This window comes from Homo sapiens, chromosome 7 (assembly GCF_000001405.40).
Source record: "Homo sapiens chromosome 7, GRCh38.p14 Primary Assembly".
NCBI classification, from domain to species: Eukaryota; Metazoa; Chordata; class Mammalia; order Primates; family Hominidae; genus Homo; species Homo sapiens.
In genome coordinates, this window is record NC_000007.14 from 139,838,709 (window position 1) to 139,858,940 (window position 20,232).

Genomic DNA, 20,232 nt, shown 5'->3' on the forward strand with positions numbered 1-20,232 from the left:
TTGATCGTTTTCCCGAAACCGCGTTGGACACCATTTTTCCATGATGATCATTTGATTTAAACCGACCAGTGTGTGGCTGAGCTCTGTGAACTGGGGCATCAGGGGATCAGGGCTGCACCACCAGGGCTGGAGATGGAGCTGGGGATAGAGACTGTATTAGCTGGAAGTACATGGAGCACATGCTAAGACGATTAACACACAAGATAACACATTTTAAAAACTAATTTTTTCCCATATAAAATGGTTTAAAATTCTTACTTCTGGAGGAGATTTGATGGACAAGAAATGAGTTGTACGAGTTGAACGTTGCTCGAGGCAACCGTAAGTCCTAGCGTATTTAATCTTTCAAGCAACACCTAAGGACTGGCAGCTGGGTTCCTGTGGGGAGGATAAAGATTGCTTTATTCTTTAAGATCCAGTGTAAAGAAATAGCCCAGATAGCAATAGTGGATTTCTTTCTGGGATGGGGTTGTGGGTGATTTCTTTTCCCTTCTTTTAGTCTTTCTGCATCTTTTGTATTTCTTTAATGAGTGTGAATATTTAGCAAAAAAGAGAAATTTTACTAAAAAGAGTGGGAAACTGCTCCCTTCTAGTGGTGAAGGGGAAAGCAGTTTCATGCTTTAGGCGTGAGGTTTCAGGACTGTAGTCTAATTATTTCTTCCAGTGGAGTAGAATGTCTGAAAGGATTTGGAGTAACAGGGCTGATGAAGCGGCAAGGAAGGTGAGTAGCTATCTAGGCAAGTATGTGAACACAGCCTGGAAGGGCTTGTAGTACCAAGCTGCTCTTAAAGCTCAGGTACCAAGACCCAGAGGTACATAATCAATTCGACATCAAAAATAGGAATTCAGGCTGGGTGTGGTGGCTTATGCCCAAAATCCCAGGGCTTTGGGAGGGCAAAGTGGGAGGATCACTTGAGCCCAGGAGTTTGAGACCAGCCTGGGCAACAAAGAGAGACCCTGCTTCTACCAAAAAAAAAAAAAAAAAAACAAATCAAAAATTAGCCAGGTGTGGTGGTGCGAGTCTGTAATCTCAGCTACTTGGGAGGCTGAGGTCGGAGGATCTCTTGAGCCCAGGAGGTTGAGGATACAATGAGCTGTGATTGCACCACTACACTCGCACTCCAGCCTGGGTGACAGGGCAAGATCCTGTCTGTAGTCCCAGCTACTTGGGAGGCTGAGGCAGGAGAATCACTTGAACCCGGGAGGCAGAGGTTGCAATGAGCCGAGATCACACCACTGCACTCCAGCCTGGGCAACAAGAGTGAAACTCTGTCTCAAAAAAAAAAAAAAAAAAGAGATTTCAGATAGAGAGTGAGTTAGTGTTCTGATCAAGTCTCATTCTAAGACCAGTTTAAATTGAAATGTGATTGGTGATTATTAAGATTTAAGACTATCACAGATTATTAAGACTTAAGTTTACCACTATGCCTGGAAGTTCCTTTCCCAGAGAGTTTCTTCTACATGTAAGAACTGGACTCTAATTCTAGACCCACATCTACTCCAGACTATATTTAGAAGGCACCATTGGGATGGAATATGGGAGCCAAGATGAGAAATCTGAAGAGGAAGAAGCCATGTAGGTATTCCCTGGCACAATGGGAGGTGAGCTCCGGAAAAGGCATCCCGCCTCCAGCATGTGGGGACTGAAGATCAATTTGCCCACCATTTCCCAACTTCGGTTCCTAAAAGTGTTTAGGAAATTAAGTCTAAATCAAGCCCTTCTTGGAGATTCATAGAATATCAAAGGCCCTGAAAGGTTCTTTAATAAAGAAACCTGTTCAGCTTTATTTAACCCAGTGTTTTCGCAGCGTCTTTGCTAAAGTACTGCTGCATATGGCCGTGGTGGGTTGGGCAACTAGACCCGCTGAGATGGTCCCTTGAAAACGGCGGTCGGATGCATTGGTAGCTGCACAACCAGTGGAAATGGAGGGGCCACAAAACGGAGGAATAAGACATTCAAATTGCCCCTTTGCAAGCTCTGAGGTTCCAGGGTTGACGTATTGTTTCCTTCAGGGCACAGAAAATATGGAGTCTAGCGAACAGAAGCAGGGCCCATGCGTAGGGGTGGTCCAGGTTTACACCAAAGAAAATGAGTACTACTCACAGCTGTCTGGCAAGGTGGCAAGAGAGCGCCTCGGAGGTCGTGAGTGTCCCTCACCATCCATAGGAATGCCACAAAAGCCCTTGCTGCCAGGCATGAGCAGCTGGTACAGAAGGCCACCGAGTGCCTTCCCGATCTGGACTCCGTGACTTCTATGCCCACTGGCGCTCTTGCATGGGTCAGTCTGTGCTGCCGCTCAGGAAAAGCAAGTCAGGTGCCATACCAGCGACCCAATGGCGGCTGCTGCTTCTTCTGCCTGGGCACCTCATCATCCCCAGCAGTAGTTCCTAGGTGTGAGCGTGGCAAGGAGCCCAGAAATACAGAAGCAGCGTTTAGGGGCCTCACGGTAGCTTCATGCCTGACTCTTTTCTCTCCTCTTCCGGCCTGGCCTCTAGGCCTTTCTGGATCGCCAGCCAGTCAGACTCTACTTCGAGAAGCAGAAGGTCTTGGGCTGGGTCTTGAAATGCAGGGAAGAATTGACTTGGCAGAGGAGAGGAAAGAGAAAATTTCAGGTGGGGAAGTACCCCAGGCAAAGACAACATTAGTGTTTGTAACATTTGCTGGAACAAAACATTAGGAGTGTGAATAATGGACACAGTTTAGAAATACATTTTAAAGGCATGGATAATTTTCAGTGCCTCCAAGCATCTAGAGAGGGATACATCTATTTCCCTTTTTTTTTTTTTTATCTTTTTGTATTTTTGTCTAGGATATGATGGGTACTTCGATTTAATAACTCAGTGATGAGCTTGGAGATAAAATTGAGCCTGCTGTGAAAACTAGGTCTGTGGCTTCCTTGAGGACCATTTCTACAGAATATTATTTTTTTTGTTTTCTCTCTCTTAAATGGTTATACACAATATCCCTATCCTTCTCCTCACTTTATTGATTTTCCAGAATGAGAGTACGAGGTATGACTATAAAGTAACGTGACTGATTATTTTAGCATACACTCCAATACTTATACAGCCAAATGAATTTTATGACCTTCGGAGGCATTTTCCTGATAGGCTAAACCCTTACTGCAGATATGCCACTATCAGAAAACACATTCTTAGCACTTTTTGTGGGAATGGCACTTGGTGCTTAGATGTGGTCCTTTGAAAGCCCTCAACGCAACACATCTTTGTGGAGAATAGATTGATTTTTTTTAAAAAACAGTCCATATTTTGGCAAATAGATGATTAAACAGAGTAATATTATTTGCAATTTTAAAAATGTGATTATAAAACAATACACAGCTTGCAGAAGAGGTGTATGAACCAGTTCTGGAAGCCTGGGAATTTTGCTGAGGGGCCACGCTCACTGGCATACGAGTTGGTTTTTGGTTTTGGTTTTGTTTTTTAAAGAAAACAATAGCAACAGTCTTAATATTTATGGTCATACCTTCTCTCGTCTAGTAAGGAATTCAGGCTTCTGGTAGCATCTGTTTTGGGGGCAGAGATGAAAGAAGAATCTTATTTGTTGTATAAACAAAGCAAAACATCAGATTGATGTGTGTCCATTACTGAGCTGCGTGAGTGGGTGCTCAGCGATGCCTTCCCGGGAAGGAAGTGACTCTCCCAGAAATAAAATGATTGAATGAACTCTTCCCCTAACCCTAGTGCCATAATAACAACAAACCTAACAACTATCGCTTGCCACTGAAGGGAAGTACGCGGTCTATGGGAACCCTGGTAGCCTTATATGGACTTGTTTTTTGGTTGCCGGAATAACATGCATCTGGACATGGGAATGAGACTGGCGAGAAAGGGAGGGGGCAGATGTTCACACTGGTATTCATTGGTGCTTCAATTACTAAGAGCCACATCTTTCCTGGTTTACCAGAAATAGGTGCTGTTGCACAACTTCCTGGTGGATAGGGTAGGGGGGTGTTAGCTGATAGGGGAGTTCCCTGGAGCCCTCGACTCTCTCTGTTGCTTTCAGCCTCAGCCCTCAGTGCAGAGTTTGGCCCTGGCCCGCGCTGTGGGGCCCTCCTAAACCTCCCCTATGTCCTTGCAAAGGTGTGCTTCTTAGGTTTCGCTTGAGCAGTCAGCCAGTTCCTCAACACAATCTCAGAAAGAGGCCGGCCCCTTTTTTCCCCTCGAAGATATCTAGAAAAAACTGTGTCAGAGATGATCTGAAAGCAAAGCCAAGCTCTACCAATAGTGGCTTCCACCAATGCCTTGTTTCCCTGAGCACTGCACACAGACCCCCTGGGAGAGCCAGCGCCATACCCCGAAACCAGCAGCTGCCTCCACATTCTGATCTGAAAGGTGCCCTAAAGTCCTCGCATGTGCTTCCCTCCTTCCTGCACTGACATGCCTGTTCCCTCCAAGCTGCACAGCGCAGTCCCTGTTGCCTGAATGCTCTCCCTTCTTGGTTTAACTGAACTCCTGCCTAACCTTCAAAATCTTGTCTAAATGTCACTCTTCCATAAAGGTCTCCTCCATCAGGCCAGCCCTCAACCAGCCCTGCCTCCTGTGGACTTGCTTCCTATCTCTCTGGCTATCTCGGCACTTACTACTTTACTTTATTTATTTATTTATTTATTTATTTATTTATTTATTTAGAGATGGAGTCTCACTCTGTCATCCAGGCTGGAGTGCAGTGGCATAGTCTCAGCTCACTGCAACCTCCGCCTCCCGGGTTCAAGTGATTCTCCTGCCTCAGCCTCCTGAGTAGCTGGGGCTACAGGTGCGTGCCACCATACCCAGCTAATTTTTGTATCTTTAGTAGAGGTGGGGTTTCATCATGTTGGCCAGTCTGGTCTCGAACTCCTGACCTCAGGTGATCCGCCCACCTCGGCCTCACAAAGTGCTGGGATTACAGGCATGAGCCACAGTGCCCGGCCCACTTTATTTTATAGCTTATGCATGTGACCTATCTTCTTGGCTTGACTGTAAGTCCCTAAGAGGAGGGCCCACATCTTAAGCCAGTGAGTGCCCTCTACATAGTAGCTGCTCAGTAAATGCTAATGATCATGATTATGCCTCTGGTAACCGAGATAGCAGCACTGTTTCCAAATGATTACTGTGACAATGTGTGTGTGTGTGTGCATGCCTGTGTATGGAAGAGGGTAGAATCAGTCTCCCCCTAATTGCACACTAGTGGTAGTGTGTTCTTAGCACCTGGCAGAATGCCTTGCACAAGGCTTATTGAAAAGGGAAATAAATCTTGATTCATGCAATCGTCGAATGCTGAAGGTTTTCTAGGCTGTGAGCTGGTTCTACCTCATTGGTGTGCTATGGATAACATTCCCATGAATTCAGATAGATAGAGGAATTGCCCCATTTGAAATTGAAGAGCAAGACTGTAAAAGGAGGGGATGATGGAATGCAGGACCCAGCCACTTAGAATACGTGGTACATGGGGGTATATAGAGCACTCAAAGTCTGAGTGGGGTATCCTGACACCAGACTAGGGGACAGGAGGCATCCAACCCCCAGCAGAGGCATTGAAGAACAGACACTTTCTCCTTCACTGTTCTATTGAGCACAAATCCCCACAGTTTGAAGCAATGGTATCTCAACTCTTCCCTACCATCCACTGTTGATGTGATTTTTCCCCATAGATCCTATGTTCTGTTGTCCCAGCAACAATGTATATTTAAGTAATGATTGATTAATTTTCCCATTTTAATTATTCAAAGGCAAGCTAATTGGAAAACTCTGCCAGTTGAGAATAGCTGATCAATGAGATAACCAGCATTAGTGTACCAAATTATAATTCCACTCCAAAGCAAAGAAACTCGACATTTTCCTTAACCTGCACCACCATCGCGTTGTCAATAAATGCACGATTTACATTAGGCTCTTTGAAATATTGAAAATATCTCATGTACCCTCTTCCTACCTTCACAAATCAGTAGGCACCTGGGAACCCCAGGCTGTAAAGCAGTGAAGAGGGAGTGTAGTCAGTTGTACATTTAAGGATTTTAACTCCATCCGTACACAGAGAGTGAGCAAAATTGGTAGCATCATCTCATGATCTAAGAGCGTACCTAAGGAGATAATTGGGAGGTTCTCAGGAGAAGTGTGGCATTGTGGAAATCAGCCAGGCCTTTACAGTGTAGGGACAGACACACCTCTTTCCCTGGGTGTCCTTGGGCCAGCCACTCCCTCCTTGCTCATTTCCTCATTGGTGAGAGAGGGCTGGGACACCTGCCTCTCAGCATTGGCACATTTTCCCCCAGCCCCCCAGGCTATGCTGGGAATCAGCCTCACATCTTTCTTGGCTCTCACCCTAATGTTAACCCTCCACAGTCTGGCCAGTCTTGACTCCCAAGTGTTCCTCTCTCTATCTGCTTTGCTTCTGCTGCAGTTGAGGACTTCAAAATCACTCCTTGGCTGGAAATAGCCTTCCCACGGGTCTCCCTGCCTTCTATCTTGTGCTCCCCTAATTTGTCCTGCAACTGCAGCCACCGGCTCACTGCTCCTCTGCATAAAACCCTTTCCTGGTCCTCCTGTCTAAGGAAGTGAGTGTTCCTGGCCTGGCTCCTGAAGCCCCCTCTGACCTGGTCCCCTGCCCCTCTGCAGGTTTAACTCCCCTCGCTTCTCACCTGGTGCCTGGCTCCCAGGTGCTCACAGCTCCTCCCACACACCATGCAGTTCAGTGCCAATTTCTTTCCTTCTACTTGCATGTCCTTCCCCCTTCATTTGGGTGAGAACTTCTCCAGGAGCCTCTTCTGCATCTCCTAGGTTCTTGCCCCAATGTACCTGGTACCTTCCCTCTCTCTCATCACTTACCTGGCTCCCCAAGGGCAGGATTGGTCCTTCCTCATCTTTAGCTGAGCACTCAGCATTGTGCCAGGGGCACTCAACACACTTCTGTTGAGTAATAGGCACGCAGTTACTTGTTGAACCAAACTGCGTTAGAAGAGATGATCTATAGGATTTTGTGTGGCATATGCATTGTTCTTTGCCGCTATGGGTATCATCATAGAGAATTTCCATTAATTTCTGGCCGTGTGCCACTGCAACCAGCTTTCACCCTGACTTGTCATATAACAAAATATCATTAAATTGAACTCTAGTTTTTTTTTTTTTTTTTTTAGACAGGGTCTTACTCTGTTGCCCAGGCTGGAGTACAGTGGCACAATCACAGCTCACTGCAGCCTCAACCTCCCCAGGCTCGGGGAATTCTCCCACCCCAGCCCCATGAGTAGCTGGGACTACAAGCGAGCACTACCACCCCAGGCTATTTTTTGTATTTTTTTGTAGAGACGGGGTTTCTCCATGTTGCCCAGGCTGGGAACTCTGGATCTTAATAAAATATTTTTTTCTTTAGAAGTCAGGCTAGGCTGGGCTGTGGGTTGAAGTTCATCTCTGTGCTATTTATGAAGGAAGGGATTGCTAACCAAAATCATTGTGCAAAGGTGACAGCTCAACCAATTTAGGAAAATAAACTACTCCCGAGCACTTCGGCAGCTTGCTAGTTTATCAACGATCCCTTGAAAACGCACTAAAAACACTTCACTCTTTCTGCCTTTCCACACTTTCTATAATGGCCCAGGGCTTAGGCTTTGGAATCAGATCTCCTGGATTCAAACTCTGGCTAGCCTTGTGACCTTAAGCAATAGATGTCAGGTCTCCGTGTCTCAGTTTCCCCATGTGTAAAATAGGGATACTAATAGTACCTACCTCTTAGCATGTTGGGAGGATTACATGAGTAAGAACATAAGGTGGACTTAGAGCAGTGCATGGCACAGCTCAGGGTCAATAAACATTAGCTCTTAGTGTTATCTGATAACTGCACGCTTATATTCAACAAAAACTGCATAGACGCTGGGCAGCTAGATCTTGGTTTTTATTTTGTTTATCTAGTTATTTTGTAAACCTCATTCTGAATTCTCACCTGATCCCCAGGAATGCACTGCAGTGAAAAGTGAGGAGAGGCGTACTTCAAACAAGTGACCTCATTTTGAATAATCCTGGACTTATACCACTAGGTAGCTTTTGACCTTGAACAAGTAAAATTAGGTTTTAAAAATGCGTATCAGACTTAGTAAGCTGAAGTGTCTTCGGGGGTGTTGGGGATGGTCACCAATGGTGTGGTGGGGACAGAGCCATAGTGCGGCAGGTTTAGAAATGATGGGGTGGGAGGGCAGATGAAAAGAAGACTGTGGGCTTTTCTTTGAAGAAGGTCAGAGATGTCAGCCACCTCTCTGGGCTTGATCACTTTTCCATACGGTCAAGCGGAGATAGTCATTCTCTCCCTGTCTCCTTGAAAGGGAGTATGAGGGTTTGTGAGCAATAAACCTTACACCAACATATATTGCTATTAGTCCATTGATGGCATCTGTTTACCTCTCAGTTGTAGGTGCTTCAAAATTAAAGAAAATCTATTTCTTGAAAAGTGCACAATAAATCAAGCTTTAAACTCAATTTGTTTTCCAGAAATTTTTCAAATTTTCCCATGACAAAATTTACATTTATTTTCTGATTTTAACAGTAAGAGTACCATTCTAATTTTCATCTGGTCTTTGCTTCATTGGTTGACATTTGCCTTGCCCTTGGACTTGAGAACTTGAAGTATCAATGAGGCATAGCACATCAGTAAATAAGCCCCGCTAAGCCATACTCTATTCTCGCCTGTTGACCAGATCTTTTGTTTCCTGCTCACTCTCATCCAAGCCCTTACCCACATCATTTTCAATGATGGTGTCACTGCAAATGTTTCTTTGCAGGTTCAATTCTCTCCTATCATAAAACAAACAACTGAGCCAGCCAACTAACCAACCAACCAACCAACCAACCAATCAACCAACCAACTCACTAACCGCCTCTTCTTTGACTCCACCCCAGGCACCACTCCACTTATCCTTCTCTTCCCAGCCTAGTGACTTGAAAGAGGACTTTGTATTTGCTCACTTTCTCACCTCCTATTTACCCCCGACCCCTGCAATAAGGTCTCTGTTCCATTCTCTACTGAAACGGCTTTCTTCAAGGCCACCATTAAGTCTCTAGTACCTAAACTGAATTAACAGTTTCTAATCCTTCTCTTTCTTTGGCACTTTGCAATATTTGTTGTTTGTTTGTTTGTTTGTTTTGAAATAGGATCTTGCTCTGTCACCCATGCTGAAGTGCAGTGGTGCAATCATAGCTCACTGCAGCCTCAAACTTCTGACCTCAAGTGATCCTTTCACCTCAGCCTCTCAAGTAGCTAGAACTATAGACATGTGCCACCATGCCCAGTTAATTTTTAAATTTTTTGTAGAGTGAGGTCTTGCTATATTTCCCAGGCTGGTCTCAAGCTCTTGGCCTCAAGTGACCCTCCTACCTCAGCCTCCCAAGTAGCTGGGACTATAGGTGCATGCAACCATCCCTGGCTAATTTTATGTTTTACTTATTTATTTATTTATTTATTTATTTATTTGTAAAGACAGGATTTTGCTATGTTGCCCAGGCTGGTCTTAAACGCCTGAGGTCAAATGATCCTCCCACCTCGGCCTTCCAAAGTACTGGGATTACAGGCATGAGCCACCATGCCTGGCCGCTTTGCAACATTTGATTCTGTTAATTTTGGGTATATGTCAAAGCTGTCAGTTACGTAGGGGTAGAAAAAAAGTTGTGCATCATTGATTATAATGCCAGGGCCCCATTTTACAGATGTGAATATGGAGGTCCAGAGAAGTTATGTGATCTGATGTGTATTAGTCAGCTACTGTTGCAATAATGCTGTGTAACAAACCACCCCAAGCTCATTGGCAAATGACAATGTTTATTTTTCTCATGGTCTGTATGTTCACTGGAGTAGCTCTGTTCCAGTCTGACAGTGGGGTTTAGATCTGCTCCACATGTTTGTAATGGGACCCAGGCTGAAGAGAATATTAGGGAAGTGCTGCTCCTGACAGGTCACAGGGATGCAAGAAATGTAAAATGAAACAGTAATATCTCTTGAGGCCTCAACCTGGAAGCTGCTAAGATAATTTCTGCCCACATTCTATTGGCTAAGCAATCCACATGCCCAAGGTTAACATTAATGGGGCAGGGAAGAAGACTCTGTCCACTGTAGCGGGAGGCACTGCACAGTCATGGAGCAAGGGGCATTGATGTAGAATTTTGATACAGATGGGGCATGAAGCATCAGGAGCAGTGATTCACTCTACCTCATGCTCCAAGATTACACAGCTGGATTCTGATCTTTGGCAAAATAGAATCTAGGGGCCACAAGTCACAAGACAAAATAAAACCATAACAAAAAAATAAATAAATGAACAAAAACTTAACGTGAATGGACATATTAACTTTTATTGTAAGTGAAAACAGTGACTCTCTGGGGGAAAAAAAACAACAGGCCAGGCATGATGGCTTACACCTATAATTCTTTTGGGAGGCTCACTTTGGGAGGCTGAGGTAGGAGGATCACTTGAGCACAGGAATTCTCGAGACCAGCCTGGGCAATATAGGAAGTCTCCGTCTCTACAGAAAATACAACAATTAGCCAGGTGCGGTGACATGCATCTGTGGTCCCAGCTACTCAAGAGGCTGGGGTGAGAGGATCAGTTGAGCCCAGGATGTGGATGTTGTAGTGAGCCAAGATCGCACCACTGCACTTCCAACAGCAAAGACCCTGTTCCCCCAAAAAAAACACAAAAAACAAAAAACAACAAAAAAAAAACAACCCACCAAAAAACAGAAACAACAGATAGTGATGCAGAATTTTCCCACTGAGACACTGACATGGTGGGTCATGGTGATCTTGCTTATGAAGTGATAACCTAGCTTCAAGAGTGTTGAAGCAGGGTCCAGAGCTCAGTGTAGGGGCCAGGTTGGTCCTGGGCCGAACCTGGGGACGTACCTAGGAATTTCTAGCCAAATAAGCAATAGAGGGAAGGGTCTGACTGATGACGGAGCATGAGCACACTCTAGGAAGGGCAAAGAATTGATCTGGGGGATGGGATGGGGCGGGGCCCTAAGATTTCAACTCCACCCTGGAAAAGCAGGACTTAGGGGAGGCATGTCTGAAGTTCAGAAGACCAGGGGAAACCTGAATGCAGAAAGCGCAGCTTGTTCACCATGTCCTGAAATACAGCAACCAGGGGACACTCTTGTAGATTGTGAGCTGTATTGCTTAGGACAAATTCATTGTTCTATGCTGGGCAGTAAATTTATGGATGTTGTTATGCCAAGAAAGGAATATGGCTGAAAACATAAATTGCTCCAGAATTGTTTTAAATATTCTCATGGGTGCTGGAAGTCCTCTGGGTTATTAAGGAAAAAATTTGTTTATTTCTTGCCCTTCCGGAAACCACCCTTTGGTGCTGGCTAGTGGCTGTCAGAAGAAAGGGTGTATCCATGTATCACAAGGGCTATTACACATCGTGAATTTAACTTGAGTTCTCAAAGATAAAAAGAGACACTTGTCTTGCCTCCACGCTCCTTCTCGTCCTGCACATTTGTCCACTCACCTCCAGTAAGTTGCTCTGGAATCTGAACAGGGAGGTTTCTTGCAATCCAGAATCAGCCACAAAATCCCATTTCCTTTTTTCCTATAAAAAAGATGTGCTGACTGAAACAACTAAAATATAGACTAGTTAGTGTAATAACAATAAGTAGCAAAAACAAAATAGAAAAACAAAGCACAACATGAAAAAAGAAGTTTTTGAATTAGTGTCTTCTTTCATCAAGGTCAGTTTCTCTCCATCTCACATCCTCTGTGACCCTAGGGTGGTGTGGAAGATCCTTCCCCACCCACACCCACACATGGGGTATTATTTGGGCCTTTTCCAGGGACTTCTGTCAGTTCTGATGGTCTTTGCACTGGGCTGAGTAGTGTCCCCTCGCCCCCAAATTCATGTCCATTAAAACCTCTGAATGTGACCTGATTTGGAAATAGGGTCTTTACAGCGGTAATCAAGTTAAGATGAGGTCCTACTGGATGACGGTGGTCCCTAATCCAGTGACTGGCATCCTTATAAGAAGAGTGAAATTTGGATGCTGAGATGGACAGAGGGAGGACGACATGTAGATATAGTCACACAGGCGAGAACACTGTGATGACCAAGGCGGAGATTAGAGGGATGCATCTACAAGCCAAAGACCATGGATTGCCAGCAACTACCAGGAGATGGACAGAGGCAAGGAAGGAGCTCCCTTCGTGTCTTCAGAGGGAGCATGGCCCTGCTGATGTCTTGACCTCAGAATTCTGAACTCCAGAATGATGAGAGGATAATTTCTGTTGTTTTAAGCCACCCGGTTTGTGGCAATTTGTTAGAGAAGCCCTGGGTAACTAGTCTGGTCTCCTTGCTCCCGTTGGTCTTACTGAGCCAAAGCATCCCATTGGCCTTACTGAGCCAAAGCATCCCATTGCATCATGTTTGTTACTGTAACCCTCAAATCTTTTTCTTGACCTAACTCTTAGCAAGTTTAGCCACTGGCCTTTGATCATCTCTTAGCTGCAATAATCTTCACTTGACAGACAAGCCAGAGGCCTGGCTGGAGGCTCAGGCCCTTCATTCAGACAGCTCAGGAGGCCTGGACTGTGGCTGGGCCAGTTCCTGTGGCCGGGCTCTAAGTCTCAGTTTCCCCATCTGTATAATGCACACAACAGGGATGTTGGTAGAGATTACAGGACATGATGTTTATAAAGTGTGTTTATAATTTTATTTTGTGGGTCAGTACAATGCCTGACCCATAGCAAGTGCTTAATAATAAATGTTAGCTATTATTAAACATACAGTTTTCTGAAATCTTTAAATCCATTTTTATCCACCCCAGGGTGAAGTTTCCCTGATTTTTCTTTTCCAGTAAAAGCATGGCAGATCCTATCTACTCTCTTAGTGATGCACAATGACATCTGGGCTAGTGCCTGACACAGAGTAGGCACTAAATATATTTTTATGGAATAAAGAATGGAACAACTACATTGTTTCAATATCTAATCAAAGGAGGAAATAGCTTACAGATTTTATGAGGCTTAGTAACCAGCTTGATACACTCAAGGTGAAACTTTGGAAAAGGATGTAATTTCACCACATTTGTTCACAATAGGGCACAGGTGATGTGGTAGACAGCCTCCAAGAGGGCCCTCTGGATCCTTGCCCTGGAATTCACACCCTTGCATAGCTCCCTCCCCCATTGTACCAGGGTCAGTTAGCATGACCAGTGGAATACAGCAGAGGTGATGGTGTTATCACTTCCAAGATTAGATTATTGGAGACTGGGGTTTCCATCTTGGGCTCGCTCTCTCCCTTGGATTGCTTACTTTGGGGAAGTCAGCAGCCATGTTGAGCAGCCCTATAGGGAGAGGCTCATATGGCAAAGCCAGCTACAGCTCCATAAGCAAGCATGGACACCATTCTCCAGCTTGACCCTGAACCCAAAGCACCTAGCTGATCTGCTCGCAGACTCCTGACCCTCAGAATCTGTGAGATAATGAATGTTTGTTGTCTTCAGTCACTTAGGTCTGGGGGCAATTTGTGACACAGCAGTAGATAACTAATATAGGTGCTGAGATAGGAATGGCTGGGACCAGGCAGGGTCAGGACTGAGGACTCTAATAATGGAAGGGATTATAAGTTGCAGGGAGCAGGCAAGAGGCCAAACCCAGAAAAGTGGTCTGTTCGGAAGGTCAGGCAGGTTCTGTGGGTCTCCACCTGTGGCTGTGTTCCAGAACCCAGAGAGGTGAGAGCCAGAAGCAAACACACTGAGGAACAACGGGCACTGAGATTCAGGGCTCTTGGACTAGAACTCTTGCCTTTTGACTTTGTCCTGTACAATTTCCAGCTAGACCCACAATTGATCATTATAGCTAAGAGATGATCAAAGGTCAGTGGCTAAACTTGCTAAGAATTAGGTCAAGACAAAGATCTGGGGGATTACAGGAACAAACATGATGCAAGGGGATTATAAATATTTTTTTGAAACTCTTAACAATATTCTTTTGTTACTTTGAGTTACCCAAGCTCTTTAAACTGTCTGCCAAGCTCAAAGGCAAAATTGGTATTTCCCAGGCCTTTTGGACGGGTCATAGTGCAATAGAAAGGTGGAAATATTGGCTGGGTTTATGAAGACATAACTTCTTATCCAATTGGCAAACATTTTTTAAATGCCTACTCGGCTGGGTACAAAAGAACCTAGAATTATTCTGAGCACCCACTACCAGTACTCAATGCCCCTGTGTACCAACCTTGGCTACTCCAATACACACACACACACACACACACACACACACACACACACACACACACACACACACAGTTGGCCAAAGAAGCAACCTGTCTGCTCTGCACAAGCCAGGTCTTCACTTTACTGAAGCCCCAGCTGACCCCTCTGGGCTCAAACTTTACTGAAGTGAAGACCTGGTCTGTGCAGAGGAGATAATGACAGATTTATCTGTCCTTATTTCAAGTCTTGAAGCCCTGTTGACTTAGTGGCTAATCTGATCAACTGATTTGAACCCTGGGGATAGCGTCCTGTAAGATGGCATCTGCCTTTTCACAGGGGACTCAGAGCCCTCAACCCACAGACTTGAACAAACAGGGGCTTTTCGCATCCCCCGTCTTACAGATAGGTTGGATTCTGGGCAACTGGCTGCTCTGCAAATGTAAAGTGAGAAACAGTAGGGCCTGGTAATGGTGAGCACAGACTCCAGAGCCAGACAGCCTGGGTTCGAATCTCAGCTGTGCTACTCACTAGCAGTGTGACCTTGGGCCAGTTACTTAATCTCTCTGAGCCTCAGTGTTCCCATCTGCAAAACGGAGATAATAATAACAGCATGTTCCACACAGAATTTGGGGAGGAGTAAATGAGCTCATGTGTGGGAAGCACTCAGCCGGGCTCCTGGCTCACAGGAAGCATCCTGTAACTGTTTCCTTTTATTACGCAGGATCCAGAGGCAGGGGCAGCCCCAGCTGACCCCTCTGGGCTCTAATTTAACTATCTGTTGGGGTTCACCGGAGGCAGATGTCCCTCTTTCACCACAAGTCTCAGGGGTTCTTTAAGGACTTCATAAAAACAAAGGATTAACTGCAGATGACTAAGCCCACATGATGGAAACAGAATCAGGTACAGTAAATAATGAACGTAGACAGGATTAGATTCCTACAAATAATACATTGTGTTCTCCTGCTCTTCATTGGCAATCATCCCCAGTAGGGAATCAGTGGAACTCTTTGAGTGGCCAAGGAAAACATCTCCATGTGCCCAGGATAGCCTGGGTGGGCTCCTGGAGGAGGCAACCCTTGAGCAGAAAGCCGAAGAGCAATCTGGCCTTTGCAAATGGAGAAAGAGTGGATGCATCAGCAGAGAGGAGAGTGGGCTGGGACAAGGGTGAGAGAAGGAAGCAAGCACCTAGGCCCAAAATTTAAGAAGGCCCTCACTCTCAGGGTTGTACAAGAGCAGGGGTGGCACTTGTACAGCCCTGAGAGTGAGGACCTCCTTAAATTTTGTACCCTAGGTTTGTTCTTGCCTCTCCTTTGTCTTGGCCCTAGAGAAAAGCCTGGGAAAAAGCCCAGAACGGTGAAACGACATGGCGTAACTAGGAACGTGTGAGTCATGCAAGATTGCCCAAGCCTAATTTAGGGACAGAGATGACTTACAGTGAGGCTAGCAGTCAAGCTGTGGCCGGATCACCAAAGACCCTAGGTGCCAAATAAAGGAGGTTAGTGCTTGAACTGAAAGTGACAGGGAGCCAAGGAAGAATTCTGAGCAGGGCTGCAACATGATGAGATTTGCATATGAGCAAGCTTCTTCTGGCATTGGTGTGGAGGACTGATTGGAGGATGATAGGAGAAGCTAGAGGCTGGGAGGCCAGTTCAGGACCCTACTGAAAACTCTATGCCCAAGGGAGAGACGACGACCTGATATAGGGCAGTGCCAGTTAGGAGTAAGAATGAAGAACTCACTCAAGACATGTGTTGAAGGCAGAGTTGACAGAACTTGGTGATTGACTGCAGATGAGGATCAAAGGAAAGACCCAAAGATAGCATGAAGTTTCAAAGATGGTCATCAATTTAGAAGCCAAGGGGGTTTATTAGACAAGATAACAAGCATGTGAAGGCAGTGATTTCAGCTTCCCCAAGTCCAAGGTAAACCCTTAGTTCTCCTGTTTTCTGTAGGATAAGCTCTCTGGAGGCTAGGATGTATCTTATTCATTTTTGTATGATATCTACTCTGTAAGTATCTTTGAACTGCATTAAGTGGCTTTCACACCTCCGCATCCTGCTCATTGGCTTTCAAGTGGCCTTAGGGGTGTTACTATTGTTTGAATGTTTGTCTCCTCCAAAAATCATGTTGAAATTTAATCCCCGATGTGGTAGTGTTGAGAGGTGAGGCCTGTAAGAGGTGACTGGGTCATGAGGGCAAAGCTATCATAAATGGACTCTGTGCAGAGTCCCCACCAGCAAGAAGGCCCTCACCAGATGCAACTCCTTAACCTTGGACTTCTCAGCTTCCATAACTGTAAGAAATAAATTCTTTTTCTTTATAAATTATCTAGGTTCAGGTATTGTGTTATAAGCAACAGAAAACAAACTAAGACAGGTATCAAAGTCCTTTTAAAGATGGCTGTGTAGCTGGGATCAGACCAACACAGCAATGTGTTCAAACTCCCATTCTAAACACACAGAACCTGGGGCTCTGACTTGGCCCCACGGTCTTGAGTTGAAGCCTGAAGTGTGACTGGATGTCAGGCGTGGGCTGCCCTGGGGCTTTGGGAAGTAGTGAAAGGGATAAGGTGAAGGTCAAGCAGAGTGGGGGATGTCAGGAGGCTGGGGAGGCTTGGGCTGCCAGGTGAAGTGGGCCTCATGAAAGACAATTTGAGATCAGAATGTCAGACAGAGAGCAGGCTAGAAGGCAGCTGGCTTCTGAGCTGCAGCCTAGAAAGGCTGATTCAGCAGTGCTAGGAGGAAGTGGGAGGTTTTGTCGTCCCAGAAGCCATATCTGGAGCAAGGGGAAGTACTAAGACCACAGGGTAGCATTTGGAGCCATACACTGGGACTAACTTCCTCTGACCTAGGCAACGACAGACTGCCCCTGTGGTCAACCAGAGCCCCCAGATCCTTTTCTGTGAGCTACAATGAAGCCAGGCCTCATTCTTCTTGAACTTGAGAAGTTTAGAAAATATCTGCTTTGCCTTCACTAGCCTCCATTTTCATAAAAATAAAGCGAGTGAAAAAAGCAAGTCTGAGCGCTTTGAAACATTAATTAAAGACACCACAGTTTCCTTATTTAACTGAGGGTTGCTACCTCATCTGGGATTATTAGCAAAGCAGAGAGCCTTTGTTGTGCTCGACAAAGTGATTAATTCAGACTCGAGGTGAATTTTGGCTTTCTCAACTTCTTTTGATGTGCTAAGATCCCCCAATGAGGACAACGTCATCAATTACTTAAGCCATTACCTTGAGATCACAATTATCGGGGAGGCCCAGTCTACTAATTGGCAGACAGAGAGACAGAAATGGACTACAGGGTTGTGGCTTCAACCCTTAATTGTTCTAGGGGGAGCGAGAGTCCTTTAAAATGTTTTGTGGCAATGCTCCTGCTAATCTGGGGTGATCGAGTTGTTTTTCCACCAGGCAAAATGCAGCCTGGGTGACCTGCGTCTCTAGAACCAAGAAACTGCCTGTGATTCCACTGACTTGGCGTTCTCATGGGCCAGGACACAGAACTCAGAACTGAGGGATGAGTGTGTCAATGGAAGAGGGATGAGGTTCATAAAATTGGAAAGGAGAGCTTTATTTCTCATAAAGGGTTGCGGCCTTCGGGTGGCCATTCCGACAGGCTAGGAAGATATTTTGATGGAGGGGAAAAGGGAATGGGAATTTATGCAGAGCAGGGAGGCCAAATATACATATTCAATAAGCTATGGGAGGAGTCATGAATATTTATGAAAGGAGAAACATGTGCATGCGCAATTGAGCGTCATGCGCCTTCATGGGTCCCATGTAGAAAAAATGGCAGCCTTAGCATAATCTGAGGGTGGAGTTTTCGAGCCTCTGACTTCAAAAAGTGAAGCAAAGGACAGGAAAACCCTCACTGAGCATCCTCCATACAATGGCCAGAATCACTCCATAATCGGTGGTCTCGTATCAGGCAAAAGAAAGGGGCAGCATCAGGTGGCAGGTTGATGTCAGCGGTGGAGGCTTTTAACATCAGACGCTTTCAGGGCGTTATGGCGTCAACACCAATGGAGGCTTTGAAAAGGCCGCTTTCTATTTAGCCCTTAGGGGAGAAAGCATAATCATGGCTAGTGAGGGAGGGGTAGAAGGAGTGTGTCTGACTCCCCATCCCATCATGGCCAAGAACTCAGTTTTCAAGTTTACTCTGGGGACCCCTTGGCCAAGAGATGGTCCATTCAGTCAGTTGGGGGCTTAGGATTTTATTTTTAGTTTACAAGTTCTAGAAGCAAACATCCTACTCAAGAGGCAAATTCTCCAGCCCCTGGAAGCTGTCTTTGGGCTTCCGTGGGATGCTACATCTGGGCTTACTGTCCCCTGACACATAAGGAATTCAAGGACCAGATACAAGAGGCTGCTTTTTACATTTTAAAATATATAATCATATAATATTCTGTTTAAATAGATTTATCTTTGTTCATTTAACTAAGCCATTACTCTTTTTTTTTCTCTCCATCCTATAAAAGAGTTTTTGGGGGAAGGTTTTATGCTGCATGGATATATGTCATTGGTTTTTCTGGTGAAAGGTGGAGGAACTTTGTCTGGTTAAATTTAGTCAAATAACCAATACTTAAACAAACAAAAGCCACCCCTGAAGTGTTTCATAAATATCAGTCACTTCAAGAGTTTTATGATGTACGTCAGTTGCTTTGTTCTGTTTTCACAATAGAAACACACGTTGTGTGTGTTTTCGGATGGTGGCACTACTGTTTGCTGTACCTTCATCATTCTTCTTTAATTCTCACTGGGACAGAAGGGCAAGACACTTTCCCAGGGTCAGAATCCTGGGATTGGCTGGCTGGATTTTCTTTTCTTCTTAATTTTTTTTTTTTTTTTTAAGAGACAGGGTCTCTCTCTGTCACCCAAGCTGGAGTGCAGTGGCTTGATCATAGCTTACTGCAGCCTCTAATTCCTGGGCTCAAGTGATCCTCCTGCCTCAGCCTCCCAAGTAGGTGGGTCTACAGGCACACACCACCACACCTGGCAATTTTTAAAAATTTTTTTTGTAGAGGTGGGGTCTTGCTATGTTGCCCAGGCTGGTCTCGAACTCTTGGCCTCAAGCAATTCTCCTGCCTTGGCCCCCCAAAACACTGGGATTATGGGTGTGAGCTACCACGCCTGGCCTTGGGCTGAATTTTCTTGGGGGTGGGATGGGCATTTTAAAGCACTCTTGAGAAAGTAGAACACACTCCATTTTAAGGCAGTTTCTTTGCAGTGCTTCTTCGTACACATCAACCCCATGCTCACTCTGCCCCATGGCCTCCAGGTGACCCATCTGTTCCAAGGCAGCAGCCTTTCCAGTGCCTTCACCTGCTATGGTGCCACAACATGGCTCTCGTTTATTGTGCCAGCTTTGACACCTCTGTTCTCAGTTTAATGATTTTTCTGGGGATGGGTCCTTCTTGGAGGGTCCTGCTTTGTTTTTGTTTTTTTCCAGATTAACTTTGGGGGACATAATAAGTGGAGACCATTTATCGTTTTTTAAGGCTCAACAAATATCCAATAGTCAGACAGAAGAGTGATCAAAATAGAAAGCATGTATTTAAACTGGGACTGACAGGTGACAGGGGATGCCTCTTAGCCACAATGATCATAATGTAAATGCTTAATTAACTGTTTGTCAGTAGCCATTGAATGTCTGTCTGGTCCACTAGGCTGTAAGTGCCACAGAGCAAGGGCATGTAGGCATGGTCCCTGCAGCATCCTGGTACCCGGAACTCAGCACTCCCCCAGCACCATGCTTGGTATCTGCTCTCTGGCCATGGTTTTGAACTATCAGCTGAGCCCAAGCAACCTTGCAGACCACATTTTGATTATGTCTTCCTCGGACCATCCTTGAGAGTCACGTCTTCTTGGCAGTGTCCCATAGACTGTGAATGGTGAGTGAGATCACTTTAGAAGGTACACGGACTTTAAAAATCTTTCATTATAAAGCATTTATTTATTTTTTAATTTTTAATTTTAATTTTTTATTTTGAGAAGGAGTTTTGCTCTCGTTGCCCAGGCTGGAGTGCAATGGCGTGATCTTGGC

General features: G+C 45.3%; 1 protein-coding gene across 9 annotated transcripts in view, besides 1 other annotated feature; it reads left to right on the plus strand.

Moving 5' to 3' along the window:
* Positions 1-20,232, plus strand: part of TBXAS1 (thromboxane A synthase 1) — a 242,052-nt gene that overhangs the window by 60,467 nt on the left and 161,353 nt on the right. The gene's annotated exons all lie outside the window — the stretch shown is intronic.
* Positions 17,116-17,195: an enhancer, noted in NCBI's record as "active region_26770". NCBI's record gives its function as "activates an Ori minimal core promoter by ATAC-STARR-seq in GM12878 lymphoblastoid cells {active_cell/tissue: GM12878}" and the evidence as "EXISTENCE:reporter gene assay evidence [ECO:0000049][PMID:35858748]".